Genomic DNA, 16,977 nt, shown 5'->3' on the forward strand with positions numbered 1-16,977 from the left:
GGGGTCCTGTGCAACGGATTGCAGGACTTGGAGTCCTCTGGTTTCCTGGAGACTGCGGCCACACTCTATTTTTTATAGACTGAAAGTTTTGTCCTCCCCGAATTCACATGCTGAGCCTGCACCGCCAATGTGATGGTGTTTGGGGTGGGGCCTTTGGGAGGTGATTAGGTTCAGAGGAGGTCATGAGAGTGGAGCACGCTTGACAGGGTGAGTGCTCTTTTAAGAGGAGAAAGAGGGCCCAGAGTGTGCTCTCACCCTCCTGTGAGGACACAGCAAGAGGCGTCCTCTGCAAGCCTGGAAGTGGACCCTCACCAGGAACCCAATCTGCCAGGGCCTCCAAACCTCCCGCTTTCAGAGCTGCAAAAGATAAATGTCTACTGTGTGAGCCGCTGAGTCCATGGAATTTTGTTATTGGGCTCTTATAGTAGCCCAAGCCGATTAGGACCCAGAGTTAGGGAAGACAGGATGGGAGCAGGTTGCAGGGAGAAAGAAGGATTGGACATATTCCATGGGATCTGTGCTGACATCCTCAGGAAGACTTGCCGAGTTGGCTGGGAGGGAGCCTGGAGTTAGAGACATGTTTTCGGGGCTAGCTGTCTTCAAAGTGCCTGTCACTGCTCTTGGTGATGTGCACATCACCTCCGTGATTCGCGGGAGCCCCTGCACAGCCACCGCTACAAACTCCATTTCAGTGATAAGGAGAGCTGGGCTCAGTGAGATTGTGGAACTTGCCCAAGGCCAGGATCCCAGAACTGCCTGATTTCAGAGCGGTGGAGGGAATGAGGCACTCCACAGTGCGCAGGCTCAACTTTCCATCAGCCACATAGCTGCTATGAAACCACTGTTGTGTCAGACACCCTGACTTTGGGCAGGTGGGGCTGTTGTGACTCTTGCCAACCTCCGGCCTCCTGTGTCCCCTGAAGCTCCCATCCCTCCACGGTCCACTCCCTGGGAAACAGAATCGATGAGGCATGAGTTCTGATGGGACATGGCCCCTCTGAGGAAGCAGGCAGCATATTTAACTGGCAACAAAAGGAGGAACAGGAGAGGCTCTAATGCCCACCGGGCCACCCCAGTGGCAACAGTCCCATCACCCAGATCTGTGTTCTGGAAATGTACGGGACGCAGTCCACGCGTTAGAGATGAGACTGTGACTGTTCACCTAGGTACTCCGGGTGCCGCTCAGGACATTTCCACCTAGAGGTAGACACCCTCCACCACACACACACCTGCGGGTGGGCCAGATGTGCTAGAAGCTCCCCAGTCTCCTTGGAGAAGCTGCTGTGAGACCAGATACTGTGAGACTGTCCTTCACCTGCCAGGTGATGACGTCTTGGCACGACCCCGCTGGCTCATGCCCAGCTCAGTGTGTGGAGTGCCCATGACAGCAGACCCATAGGACTCCATCCGCTCAGAGAAATGTCCCGGCCAGGGTTTGGGGGAGCAGGGGCAGCAGTGACCTCCCCTGGAGGCCTCCCAGCGCTCAGAGTGCGCTCCGGGAACCCCTCTAAAAAATGAGCCTTAAGTCCGCACAGGCTGTCAGCGGCAGCCCCTGGGTCAGACTCCTCAGCTCATTTTCAGACACTTTCCTTCCTGCTCCAGGCTCTGCATGTTCTTCAGCCCCTTAGCCCAGATTTCAGCCGCTGTGATGGTGGAAATCCAAAAAATGGGCGCGAATAAAAGGGTGTCACTATGAGAGTGCGAAAGCCACATCCATATTTGTAAGTGGAAAAATGTGAAGTCTGAACATCTTTAGAGCTTGCAGCGTGCTCTCTGGCAGGAAATGTGAAGAATAGCGGCTGGCCTGGCTCTGCCATCCCAGCTGCCAGGGCCTTGCTCCCCGGCTCTCCTTTGAGAACCGAAGGAGGTTCCCTGCCCCTCCGACGCACCAGCTCCCTCACTCGAAAGACCTAAACTTCCAGCCTCCTCCCGCCCGCCTCGACGGGGCTTTGCCAGTATAGAAACTGCAAGACTTAAAAGGTATCTGCTGGGACACGTGGGGGCGAGGGGCCATCAGCCACCCAGTTGCCCAGCCAGGCAGATTGCCTGTTGTTTTTTTGAAAGTGGCCCGATGAGCAAGAAAAACCTGTATCAAACAGCAAAGCTCCACTATCCCCCAGCCCCCAACCCCTTCCTCTCCTCCATGCAACACCCCCTCTTGTTCCCTGTGCCATTGCACAGCACAAACTACATTCTCAAATAACCCTCCACTGGCTCTACGCCAATATAGTTACGTTTAGAACAAGTAGTAAATTCATTAGAAAGGATTTGGAAGTGATTTATTATGCTATAAAAATGTGAGAAGATAATCCCTCTAAAATACCTGCATTTTCAATTTGCATATTATATTGAAATCCAAATTGATCTGCAAATAAAAGCAATATAAGTTTAAAACTTTGCTATTTATGTATAAAAACACCATATGTCTCCCTTGTCTCTGAATTCACTAGTTTTCTAAAGTGTCATAAGCCTTTTTTGATGTTTTATGTATTTACACATATTTTTGAAGTTCTTAGAATACAAAATTAGGCCTAATGTGTCTTTAATTGATCTGTGGGACATAATGTCAAAGCACAATTTTAACATGTTCTAAGTCTTCAATTTATTTATCAGTGATCGAGGTCCATAACTTTATAATAGCTATCTTTAGGAAAATGAAAGTACTTATTTTTGTTACAGAAGTAAAACATGTTCACTATAGAGACTTTGGAAAGAGAAGAATAAAATAAAAATTATTCTTCCCAATCCCATCGCTCAAAAGTAATCCCTATTGGACTCCAGAGAAATACACAACATTGTTTTCATTATAAGAGGCAGGTGAGTTTCCTGCTAATTCACTTCGCTCAACAGAATGCAAGCCCAGGGTCCTGGGCCAGCGCTTTGGAACCCCACCTGGTCCAGAAAAGCAAGACAAACAGAACTCAGTTCCTTTGAGGGGCAGAAATCAGGAGAACACCTGAATTAATTGTTAAAAATAGACTGCCGCCTGTCTGAAATATGAGAAACCTTGAAAAATATTCCCCACAAATTTTGTAAATCCCCTGAAGAAATACTATAAATCATTCAATCAATGGGACAGTCTTCTTTTGTGGCTGGAGCTGGAGATAAAATAATCAAAAAGGGGAAGCGCAGTGCAGCCTTTGAGGACCTGACAGCTGGCAGTGCCCGGTGCCTCCTCTCCAAAGCAGCTCAGAGCAAGGGCCTCCCTGCCACAAGCCCCACAGTACAGACAGTTCATTAAACAGAAAAACATTTTCCTTTCAAAGATGACTTTCAGATGCTGCATAGGTGAAATTAAGGAGAGATTTAGTTCATGCCTAAAGTCACAAGCACATTCAAATATTTTCCTTCTACTTATGGATGTTTATTCAGATGAAAATAAAAGTGGACATTTTGGATACGCCTCCTAGTCCTTTGGATACTTGGTCTAAATGATAGTGAATGACTGATTGTTACCCTTTTTTAATTTTGAGGTTTGTTTGCCAGATAGCTGCAACTCAGAGCATTGAATCTTCTGAGAATAAATTCTTTACAGACCAGAAAGCTTGCAGTCTGCAAACCATTTAAATGGTTGAGGAGGTGGTGGTTACTCTAATGGTACATGCACACACACACACACACGCTTGTCACACACAGGAGCAAGAACTCTGCACCAGGTACTTTGCCAGGTACCCTACGTTATGCACTGCCTTTTTTTTGCAAGTGAGTTACTGTGATTCCCACCTTGTAAGCAACCAACTAAAACTTCTAGAAGTTAAACCATTTTATTCAAAAATCACACCATGCTGAAGCTGGGATTTGGTGCAGCTCCACTCAGTTTTATCCACTACGACACAACATGGATTGTTTAAAATTGTCAATAGAATGGCGTTAGTCCAATAAGGGAGAAAATGGAAGGAGAAGCTTCATGATGTGGCCTCTGCCGATAGTTTGGGATATTGTACTAAAGGAAGACAAAGCAATTGTAGCGGGAGGGCCTGCCATCTTAGAAGTACAGGATACTAGGTCATACATTTCCTGTTTTGCACTTGTCAAAATTTTGAGATTGGCTTTTTAGAAATAATTAATGCATTCATTTGTTAAACAGGTATTCGTTACACACTATTTACAGGGCATTGGGATAAATGCAAAAAAATTTGTGAAGATACAAATGCATGCATTTGTGAGTATACACATACAACCTCATGTAGCTTATAGTCTATGAGGAATAAATAAATTATTGTTATAATTACTTTTCATGAAAAGTAATTATACTTCAGACATCTATATGCCTGAAGTATAGAACTTCAGGGCAATAGAAATTTAGCCTCCCTTTTAGGAGACAGTACTGGAAGTGCTCCACCGGGCACACCAGCAGCCAGCAGGTCCAGCTGTTTGCCCTCAGGCACAACATGCTGCCTCCTGTGGGGACAACTCTAGGACTGAAGCTAATACCTACTGCATGGCCCACTAAGTAACTGCGATTATTAGAACTGCTATCACTATTATTGCTGAATAAAGCCATCCCCTGCTGATCTGTCCCCCATCAGAAATACTCTTACATGGCTTCACTGAAGTGTATTTTATGCAAAAGGAAATTCACTCAATTTGCATGAGCAGTTTGCTGAGTTATGATAAAAGTACACAGTTGTGCAATCATCACAACAATCAAGTTTTAAAGCAGCCACATCATCCCCCAAATTTCCCTCAGATCCCCCTTGCAGAAAAAGTATTGCACAGAACTCAGTACCCGCTCATGAAAAAAACTTTCAGGAAATTAGGAGTGGAAATTCCTCAACCTGAGAGCATCTGTGAAAAACCTCCAGCTAATCAGATATTTGATAGAGAAAGGCTAATGGTCTTATGACCACAAATGAGACACAGATGTCCACATTCATCAGTTCTATTAAGCGTTGTATAGGATGTACTAGCTAGAGCAATTGAGCAAGAAAAAATAAAGACATACAGATTAGAAAGGAATAAGTAGCCTCTACTTACAGACAACATGATTCTGAATACAAAACGTCCTAAAGAATGTAAAAGCAGTAAAACAGATAAGGGAGTTCAACAACATTACAGGATACAAGTTGATATAAAAAATTATATTTTTCTGCACTAGAAGACAAAAAGTTCAGAATTGAAATTTTAAAAGACAAATCTATTTACAATAACATAAAAAATAACGAAGAATGAATATGACAAAATATTTGCAGAACTTTTTCACTAAAATCCACAAAATAACTAACAGAAATTAATAAATGGAGATGTATTGAGTTCTTTGATTGAAAGACTCAATAGGAATATTCCTCAAATTGGTCTATAGCTATGACGTAATCCTTATCAATATCCCAGGAGGCATTTTATAGAAACTGACAAAATGATTGAAATTGTATATGGAAATGCAAAGGACCTAGAGTAACCAAATAATTTTAAAGTAAAAGAACAAAATCAGTGGACTAATTATCTGATTTCAAAATTCGCCATAAAATCATAGTAAGCAAGAGAATAAAGTATCGCCATAACAATACATATATAGATCAATTCATTGAGATTTTATCTATGGTCCAGCATAAGGTATATCCTGGTGATAACTCTAGTCAAACTTGAAAAGTGTGTAGATACTTCTGTTATTGGGTAGGGTATTTTATCCATCTTAATTAAGTCGTTAGTTGATAGTGCTGTTCGCCTTCTCTATATGTATGGATTTATTCTATCAGTTACTGATAGAGACATATTACAGTCTCCAACTATAATAGCTAATATGTCTAGTTCTCTTTTAATTCTGTGAGTTTTTCCTTTATTTATTATGGGTATCTGTTTTTAGGCGCATAAATATAATTGTTATATATTCCTGTTCTAGTTTCCCTTTTATCATTATGAAATGCTTATTTTTGTCTCTAGTGTTGCCTTAAGATATATTTTGCCTGATATTTAAATAGCTATTCTATTTGCCGTGTGGTTAATATATTCAGGGTACATATTTTTACATCTTTTTATGTTCATCCTAGGTATGTCTTTGAATGTAAAGTGCATCTTTTTTAGGTAACATATAGCTGTATCTTGCTGTATCATCCAGTTTGATAATTTTTAACTGTGATTCAATTGTTCACTCCATTCCCATTTAATGTAATATTGACAGGGCTGAATTTGTACCTGCCATTTGGTGATTTTCTTTTTGTTCTTCTGATCCTATTTTACTAATTTCACTTGTTTTAAACAAATATTTTAGTACATACTTTAATTATTTTTTACTCTTTAGCTATGTTTCTGTACATGTTTTTAGTGGTTGCTCTAGCTTATCAAAATCTAACTTAATATTAACTTATTTCTGGTAAAATGCTGAAACTTAATGATATTATAGTTTCATTATATTATAGCTTTATTACACCCTTTCTTTTCTTTGTGAGATTCTTGTCATACATATTTCATATACATACATGTTGATTCCAAAAATACAGTGTCACAATTTTAAACAGCCACATGTCTTTTAAAGAAATTAAGAGGGAGAAACGAAGAAACATCTCTTTCAGCTTTGCCCACATATTTACTTTTTCTGGTGTACTTCGTTCTAACTTTTACCTCCAAGTTACCATCTAGAGATACTCACTCAGCTTGATGGCCTTCTCTTAGCAGTTCGTGTAGGGAAGTTCTGCTAGCAATATATTTTCTGTTACTTTCTTGAGAGTGCATTTTTTTTTGAAGGATCATTTTGCTGGATATTGAGTTCTTGCCAGATGGATTTTTCAGGGGTTTTTGATTTTTCTTCTTTCAGTATGCTCTTTGAATATACCATTCAAATGTCTTCTCACCTTCACTGTTTATAATGAGACGAAGTCAGGTGTTAACTTCATTGTTCCACTGTGTGTGATAAGTCAACTTTTTTCTTGTTGCTTCCAAGATTTTATCTTTGACTTTCATCATTCTGACTGTTGTGTTGTGTAGGTTTTGTTTTCTTTGCATTTATTCCATTTTAGGTTCACTAACATTCTGTAAGTTACATCTTTCACCAACTTTGGAAAGTTTCACCCTTTAGTTTTTAAAATATTTTCTCTGACTCTCTCTTTCTCTCTTTTTTCTTCTTGGACTCCAATTACATATATGTTTGAATGCTTGTTATTATCCCAGAGAGCTGAGAAAATGTTTACTGGTCTTTAAATATTTTCTCTCTGTTTTTTCACTGAATGATTTCTATTGATATTTCTTCAAGTTAAATCTTTCTTCTTACATATTAAATCTGCTATTAAATCCATCTAGTGTTTTATTTCAATTATTGTATGTATTAGTTCTAGAATTTTCATTTATTTTTTAAAAAATAGTTTCCATTTTTCTCTTGAGGTTCCATATTTGTTTACATATTATTAGCATATTTTCTTTTAGTTATTTGTACTTTTTAAAAATATTAGAATATATAGATGATAGTAACTTAAAAATCTGTCTGCTAAATCCAGTAGAGTCTGAATCTGAATTAGATGTTTTTTATCAATAGCTTTTTTCCCCTTAGCATGTGACTTATTTTTTCTGTTTTTGAACACCTAGTAATTCTTGCTTTGAAATTGGACATTATAGAGAACACATTTTTAGCAACTTTGGATTCTATTTTGCCTTTGAGGTTTTTTGGTTATTTGTTTTAATAGATAATTAATTTACCTGAACACAAACTTTGAAATCTATCCCCTTGCCATCACCACTTTTTCTGTTCATACAGTTTTGAGCCTGAACCCATACGGTTCTCTCATGTACTTGAGTAGCTTAGTGGTCAGATAATAATTTGAGCAGATGTTACTCTTCATCGCAAGCTAGCCAGACTTCCATGTTTGGCTGCTAGCTTGATGTGGGTTGGGGAACACACTCAAGAGTGGATCAAATTCGTAAGTCTCCCCAGGATTTTGTTTTATGCCAGTCTCTTTCTGTCTGCACCTGCACATGGAATTCAGCAGTCACCATGGATGTGCATTGAGTTTATTGTCTCATTCCTTGTATGCTTTCTTGCTTCCAAAATCTCCAACTAAATTTATAGCTTCTCTGTCATCATCTCAAGCCAAGTTTGCCATCCATGAGTGATAGAGCTTGGATTTCCGCTTCCAGAACGAGATGAAAAGGTCCATAGGCAAGAATGCTACACACTCATCATTTTAACCTAATACGGTAGCAGTTTTTCCTGGGAAAGTGTTTCTCACATTTTTGTCTACATTTGATCATTCCTCAGTGCCCTGAAATTATTGTTTCAATATTTTGTCCAGTTTCATTATTCTTTACTGTGGGGAAAACTGCCTGATCTATTCATACCATTAGTATTCAAAGTTTGTTTCTTCAAATTCATGTTCATAATAATAATCCTCATGAGAAAAATCTTGGTTTATTGAGACTCAGGGTTTTCCGTATCTTTTCTCCATCATAAAAGTGAAATAACAAATGTGTAATGTATTAACATTATACTCTACCAAAGTACTGATCTAGCTTGAAATAATAACAGCTAAACATAGCTCTTCTTGTGTGTCAATCAGTGTTCTAAGTACTTTACATTGTAACCTATTTAATTCCTATATAAGGAAACCATATAAGAAAAGCATTAATATCATGCCTGTATTAGTCTATTTTCACACTGCTGTGAAGAACTACCTGACACTAGGTAATTTATAAAGGAATGAGGTTGAATTGGCTTATGGTTCTGCATGTCTGGGGAAGCCTCAGGAAACTTACAATCGTGGTGGAAGACAAAGGGGAAGCAAGGCACATCTTATATGGCTGTAGGAGAGAGAGAGAGAGAGAGCAAAGGGGGAAGTGTCACACACTTTTAAGCCATCAGATCTCATGAAAACGCACTCTCTGTCATGAGAACAGCAAGAGGAAAATGTCCCCCGCACCCCCAATCCAATAACCTCCTGGCAAGCTCCTCTTCCAATTAGACATGAGATTTGGGAGGGGTCAGGGGCAGAATTATATAGTTTGGATTTGTGTCCCCACCCAAATCTTATGTCAAATTGGACGTGGGGCCTAGTGGGAGGTGATTGGGTCTTGGGGATGGGTTTTCCCCTTGATGTTCTCATGATAATGCGTGAGTTCTCATTAAATTTTTAAAATTTAATTACAGCCCTGCTGGGTTTCAGACTTGCATGGGGCCTGTAGCCTCTTGGTTTTGTCCTATTTCTCCCTTTTGCAATGGGAGCATTTACCCAATGCCTGTACCCCCCTTGTATCTTGGAAGTAACTAACTTGTTTATGATTTTACAGGCTCATAGGCAGAAGGGACTTGCCTTATCTCAGATGATACTTGGACTTTTGAGTTAATGCTAGAATGAGTTAAGACTTTTGGGAGACTCTTTGGAAGGCATGATTGGTTTTGAAATGTGAGAAGGATGTGAGATTTGGGAGGGGCTAGTGGTGGAATGATATGGTTTGGCTCTATGTTCCCACCAAAATCTCATCTTGAATTGTAATCACCACATGTCAGAGGAGGGTCCTGGTGAGAGGTGATTGAATCACGGTTTATGAATTTCTTCATAAATTACCCCATCTCAGGTAGTTCTTTATAGTAGTGTGAGAACGGCTTAATACAATGCCCTTTCTACAGATAAGAACCAAGGCTCAGGAAGAAGAACTGATTGATTAAAGCTATGCAACTAATTAGTAATGAAGTCAGGAATCAATCATGCTGGTTACTGAGTCCATGCCTGAGACACTGCACTCTTCCATCTCTTAAGTTCCTGAAACTGTGACTCAGGAAGATCCAACATCAAATCTACCATGGCACCTCACAGTGCTGCACTTATACTTGCTGTCTTCCACTCGACATCAGCATACTGGCTTGTTCTCTGATAATGCCTACAAGATCCAGCTTCACAAAATTCCTTTAGTTTATATGCAGAAATGAGAAGACTGTGTTTTTGTGCATTTTTACAATTTACATGTACTGTTTTTTAACTCTGGGTACATGAGGAAAATAAACGTCTGTGTTAAATGAAAGCAGGCCACCAATTTCTGAGGTACCATACTGAGAACTTCCCTGTATGATAATGTCATGGAAATATCACATCTGATTCTTTCAAGCAGTACTCAAACCAAGGCTCAGAATATTGGAGTGGATTCAAACAAATGTATTCCATCTACGTCCATTCAGCCTGATTTGGCCATGAAATGATGGCCAAGAAAGGGAAGGAGGGCACCTGTGGATGTGTGAAGAGTGGAGAGGAGGTATAGGAGGAGCAGAGGTTGGGACTCAGTTTTTCACAGCCAAAAGTATACAGGAGGAAATCACTTGCTCCACGATATACAATTTGCCCCAAACTGCTTTTGAAGGAGATAGCTTGTGGTGTGATTAAATCATGCTTATAGTCAGATCATCTGAAAAGCATCCAGGTAGATTCCTAGGTTATATTGAGAGTGGAAGAACTGCTGCAAGATGACACAAAATTAGCAGCCCCAACATTCTTGCTCATGCATTTCATATGATGGGTTAATTTCCCCCGATAGGCGCATGCTTATGATTCCAGTAATGTGCTTAATGAAGCTTGTGAATGGTTGTCCACTGTATTGATTTTTAACCCAGATTTGAAATTACTTTATCATTGTTTGCATCGTTTCATTTTGCATTATTTGTAGTATCTTTTTATTTCTTCATTTTTTTCTCTAACTTATTGAGATAAATACAAACTTTTTTATAGTTTATCTTCTTTAATAGTGATAGCAGTCTTTATATACAGAATTTTTATTTTGTTCCATAAGTTTTCATATAAGCATTCTATTTTGTGGCTTTCTAAATAACTTTAATTTCAGTTCTGATTTTCTCTAACTCACGATTATCTAAAACAGTTGTTGCTAATATCGAAAGAAGTAAGGTATTCTTATTGCCTTTTATCACTTATTTCTAACTTTTATTAGCTTATAATTAGAGAATATGAACTACAAAAAACTACTATTGTAAATGAGTTATGACTTTTATAGGTAAGTACATATCCATTTTTGCAAATAATCCATATGCAGTATGCACATCTATAAAACACTCTCTGAAGAAAATACATTTCTCTATATCTATGTCTTGTTACTTACTTATACATCTATAAATTTTTTGATTAACCTATGTTCTTTGTTTTCTAGTGGAAATATGTGATTGAGTGATGTTTGTGCATGCTTTGCACCATAACTATTCTGTTCGTACTTATTTTTTTGTTACATATTGAATGTTAAGTTGTTTGGTGTATTATGGTTTATTATTGGTGCAGTTTATTTATAAACGAGGACTCTGGCTATTAATATAAAATCCTCGTATATTGTTTAGAGTTTTCAACATTAAATTCTACCCCATCTCATGTTAAAGTTGGTTCCATAGCTTTCCTGTTTGTTTACTTGTATCTGGAATCTCTTCATGAACTTCTTTATTTTCAACCTTCCACTTTTTACTCACTTGGTTTTGCTTATTTTTTGTAGACATAATATAGCCAGGTTTATTAGTGTTTTGTTTATTTGTGTTTGTTTGGTTTGACCCAATCTAAAAATGGTTTTTCTGTGTAGCCCAAGAATAAGAGCAGTGACCTAGATTTGAATCTTCCCCCACAGCCACCAAAAATACTTTATTAAAAAAAAAAAAAAAACAGGGCAAATAGAATCCCACATAACACAAACCTTCAGCACAACTATAGAGAAACCACATGGAACTGCCTGCATATAGAAAGATCAACACCAAACTCCATCAGAGGCAATGCTCATCCCCCATATCAATGGCTGCTAATATTAGTCAGTGAAAGTTTGCCAAAAAACATGACATGTTCATGGTCCCAAAGTGATATGGTTTGGCTGTGTCCCTACCCAACCTCATCTTGAATTGTAGCTCCCGTAATCCCCACACGTCATGGGAGGGACCTGGTGGGAGGTAATTGAATCATGGGGGCAGGATTTTCTTGTGCTGTTCTTGTGATAGTGAATAAGTCTCATGAGATCTGGTGGTTTATGAAGGGCGGTTCCCCAGCACATGCCCTCTTTCCTGCCGCCATGTAAGATGTGCCTTTGCTCCTCATTCACCTTCTGCCATGATTGTGAGGCCTCTCCAGACATGTAGAACTCTGAGCCCATTAAATCTCTTTTTCTTTATAAATTATCCAGTCTCAGGTACTTCTTCATAACAGTATGAAAATGGACTAATACCCAAAGCATCTCTCCACAAATGACTTCATTACAAGTGGAAGAAAATAGTAACTTTATGGTGGAAAGGCCTGGTGAACCCTGCTTTTGTGAAGCAATCAAAGGCAACTTCACCAGCAAAGAGACAAGGGGATATTCTGTGTTTTTTATATGATGCACAGAGAGGGACACACATCACTTACATAAAAGTCCTGCAAAATTGAATTGAATCTAACCCAAATCTAATGCAGAGGAACCTTATGCAAACCCAAACCAAGGGTCACTTTAGGAAATAACTGGCCAGAGTTCCTCCAAAATGCCAGTGTCTTAAAAGACAGAGAAAGGTTGAGGAGTTCTCCCAAACAGAGGAAATTAATTATGTATGACAACTGAAAGTGATGTGTGAGCCTGAAGTGGATCCTGAGCAGGAAAAAGAAATTTGCTATAAATGACATTATAGGGACAAATGGTAAATTATCAATATGAAATCTAGATTCAATAATGGCCTATGATGGGGCACAGTGGCTCACACCTATAATCCCAGCACTTTGGGAGGCCGAGACAGGCAGATCACCTGAGGCCAGGAGTTCAAGAGCAGCCTGGCCAACATGGTGAAACCCCATCTCTACTAAAAATACAAAAATTAGCCAGGTGTGTTGGTGCACGCCTGTAATCTCAGCTACTCAGGAGGCTGAGGCATAAGAATTGCTTGAACCCAGGAGGCGGAGGTTACAGTGAGCCAAGATCAAACCACTGCACTCCAGCCTGGGTGACAAGAGTGAAACTCCATCTCAAAATAATAATAATAGCCTATGAATTTCCTAATTTTGACAATTTTCCTGTGGTTATGTTAGAGGAAATCCTGCTTTTCAGGGAATTCATACTGAACTATTTAAGAGTCAAGGGTCACCTTGTTTATAATTTACCATCAAATAGGTCAGAAAACTATTGCAAATGTACAGAAAGAAATGTACAGAAAATAAAATATATATAACAAGATAAAAATGTATTATTCTGATGAAGGTTATACAGGAAATCATAGTAGCCTTATGTCTTTTCTGTAAAGTTGAAATTTTATCGAATACAAAGTTTAGCAAGAAAGAAACAATTATACACATTCATGTTTGAATTGATTTACTTGGTTTTATTCCCATCCTCTTAGCTTAAATTTACTAGTTTTGTGTGTGTTTCCTCTTTTTCCCTCTCTTTCATATGTTTGCTGCTTTGGTCAACTTGCTCCAGCTTCCCTTTTATCGCTATTACTTGGAAGTTTCTGTGCATTTCCCATTCATGTGGATATCTTCCGTTTCCCCAAGATTATAATTCTCTGACTTTGACGATCGATGAGAGCAAGACACCACCTATTTCTTCCACATGAGGCACAGTAAAACAGGCCCCTCTGTCTCACGAGGCAAGAGGCAGAAAGGATTCTCTTTCTTTTGCTCCTCACCTTGTATTTCTTGTCCTAATTACTGTAATTGCTCCGCCCTCCATCACCAAACCAGCAATCTTAGCCTCATCCTCCACCCCTTCAGGTGTTCACTGAGTTGTGTACCTTCCACCCCAGTGCCGTGGACCAAGCCCGTGCTGCTTCTCCACTCGCGGGCCACACACTCCCCAGATCCCGTGCTGCTCCGAATATATCAACACGCACCCCAGCTGTCCCCTTCCACTCCATCTCCGTGTTATCCCTGTGTTAGCTTTTGGATGCAAATGTCTTACCATGTCACTTCCTGACTTTAACCCCCAACAGGTCTCCGATTACTTGACAGTAAAGTCAAGTGAAAATGAAGGTCACAGAATCCCTCACTGTGTATCTCCCATCTGCTGTGCCAGGCACCTCCTTTCCCCTGACCCAGGTTCCTGCTCCTCTCAGCCTAACCAGACTCACTCCTGGGGCCTCCGCTCTTGGTAGGTAATGGGTTCTCAATTTGGAAGCCCTTCCGCCTCCTGTCTGCCCAACTCGTCTTTACCCCTTAACATCTGAAATCACCACTGCCTCTGAGCTCTCCTTGGGTGCCCCTGCTAGAGCCATTGCTCCTGGGTCCTCTTAGTATCTCTAGCACAGCATTCATCAACTCGAATTGGAGCAATGGGAACGCGTCATGCAGACAGTGTATCATGTTTACCTTGGGTTCCTTGGTGTCTAGCATGGTGCCTCTGCAGACAATTGGGACTCAATACACAAGCGCGTGTGCACGGGGAAAGCGAAAAGGCAAGGTGACAGGACCACTGACATTTCACGGTCCACATAAGAAACAGAACTTGTGAAGGTGTGAGGGGGGTGGTTTCTCCATGAATGCAGAACCGGTCCTGCACTCCCCATCCAGGCTGAGCCCCAGGAATGTCCTCCACTTGCCCTTCACTCACTTCATTCACATGCCACACAGTAGGGCTGGAGTGATGCCTTTCTGTGCCCACAATATCTGTCTTCCTTTCAAAATAATCACATGAGGACGAGATTAAAACTGCCCTTATGATGCCTGCCAGGCAGATAAGTCGAATTCCCGTGCTGAAGAGGCAGCTGACAAGGATCCTGGCCTTTCAGATTCTGCCAATCAGTTAACCCCGCCGCCAGGGGAAGAAGGAGAACTCTTTGGAAAAACCCCTCCCCAGATAAAGGCAGCCTGCTGCCTGACGGTCTTGAAACAGAACCCGCCAACAGCCACTCCTGATCCTGCCTCCCTCCCATCTAGGCTTTGCCGAGCCTTCTGCGTATGCTGGGATCACTCTCACACCCAAATGAAAGAAAACAACAGCTTACATTTCAATAAATTAAATGGGATTAAAACAAAAAACACAGAATGATGTAGTGATTTCTAATTTGAGGGCACAAAGGCAGAAGGAGAGGGGGCAGGTTCTTAATGGAGCTCCCGATGGCCATGAAATGTAGGGAAAAGCCATTTCCATAAATTATGGAAATACACGCTGGCCTCAAGTGCATCCCATTTTCATATTGTTTTGCTGCCTTAATGACACAGGCTATTTTTGTAACATCTGTTTTTAGGGACCCTCCCTTTCTCCTGCACTTCATTAGAAATTCAGCAGCTCTCTTCTCTAATGAGTGCTCACTGGCACTGGGAAATGGATGGTGTGCCTTTTTGTTGCTGCGTGGGCGGTAATGCTTGAGTGGAAATGCTTCAGGAACAGAGCATGATCTGGGACTAGTACCTGGATGGTATGGTAGCCAATGCGGTGTGCCACACAGAGGAGCATGCTTTCCAGGAGAGGCCAGAGGCATGGGGAAGATGTCTGGTGACCGTGTTTTGATCATAAACAAGCAGATGCTACGTGTACCCTTCTCAAACGGCAGTGTGAATCCAAAGGGTCTAATATAGACTGTGTTTGATGAAACTTTAAAAAAGTCTGACTTTATTTATTTATACAGCAAGTTACTATATTTCTTGAAGTTGAAAGCACACCTAGAAATTAAGCCCCACCATCAAATACTGAAAAGTAGAGATGAACACAGGGGCTGTTTGAGAGTTTGTCGCAATGCATGACAAGCTTCTCAGGTTCAGGCTGCCAAGAGGCTCTATCTGCAGTAAGTCCCCATTTGTTAAAGGGACAGGCGTGGAGCTCCACACCGGTCCTGGGATTAAAGGGAAGCAAGAAAAGGAGGAAAGGGAGAAACAAGGAAAGTGGGACAATAGGAAGCAGGAGGAGCCTGGGGAGCAGGTGGAAGGCATCACACGCTCCATCTTGACTTACAACGGAGCTGTGTCCCAGGGGCCCCCTCCAAGCATCCACCGGCCCCACAAGTCCTGAGCATCCACCGCAGCACTGATCCCCAGTCTGGCAGGACCCTGAACACAACAGCAGGAAATGGTCTCTTCAGTTGAGGCAAGTCCAGGTGAGAGCATGTTACCTGTGCTCTACATGCCATAGTTTCATTCTGAGATTTTGAGTTCTGTATCTTAGCATGAACCGTGTAGGTCTTCCTATTATTAAGATATGGTGATATGTTTTCCAGCATGTAACATCTAAATCTAAAATTCAAAGGATAAAACTTTGAGAATTACAAGATAGATGCTTTCTGAAGACACAAGACCATTGTGATACAGACTAGCCAGGTTGCTGGCTGTCAACCACTTAAACTAGAATTAAAAGAAACTCCTCTTGTTTCATTTCCTAACTTCTGTTCCTCAGTATCCTCTTCCTATCTTCTTCCAACTCCAACCTCATCCCTGCCCCCGCACACATGTGCACACACGTTCTCTCTCTCTGTCTCTCTCTCTCTTTCCCCCTCCTTCCTTGTCCCAACTTGTCCAACATGTCCTGGTGCCTCCACTTTTCAGTTAGTTTGAGTGATCATAGATGGTACTAGTTTCTGTTTGCTGCAGTAAGAAGAGAGAGAACAGAGGTTTAACTTTCACAGCATTGATTCCAGGCTGGCATTTGTCCTTCTGCCCTGGCCTCCAAATCTCGGTTTCTGCCTGGAGGCAGCCCATGCCAGCCCATGCCATGGACCCGGGCAGCTCTGCATTGCAGAAGCCGTTGACAGCCTGAGGTGGGATTGATCTGATGATATGTTCATGCAGCTGCCACCTCATTTGGTTTGCCATTCGATCCAGACCTTTAAAAGTACAATTTGACAGAATTTTTTAAATTCAGAATTCCAGGCTGGGAAGTGGAAAATCTTTCTCATTTGGAAACAACTGTGAAACACATTGGTTCAAAGAGGAATTCCCTGTAACTGATATACAAATGATTCTCACATAAAAATAAACAAAATACAGGGAAACAAATGCAAGGTAGGTGTCGGGCACTCACGGAGAGAATGCCTGTGATGAAGCTGTTCCCCCTCCTGCCATGCTCCTGAGCCTCCTCATCTTTGAGTCACCTCCTGCACCCCTGAAAAGAAGAGAATGGTAGCTTTTCTAC

This window comes from Homo sapiens, chromosome 5 (genome assembly GCF_000001405.40).
Source record: "Homo sapiens chromosome 5, GRCh38.p14 Primary Assembly".
Lineage (NCBI taxonomy): Eukaryota > Metazoa > Chordata > Mammalia > Primates > Hominidae > Homo > Homo sapiens.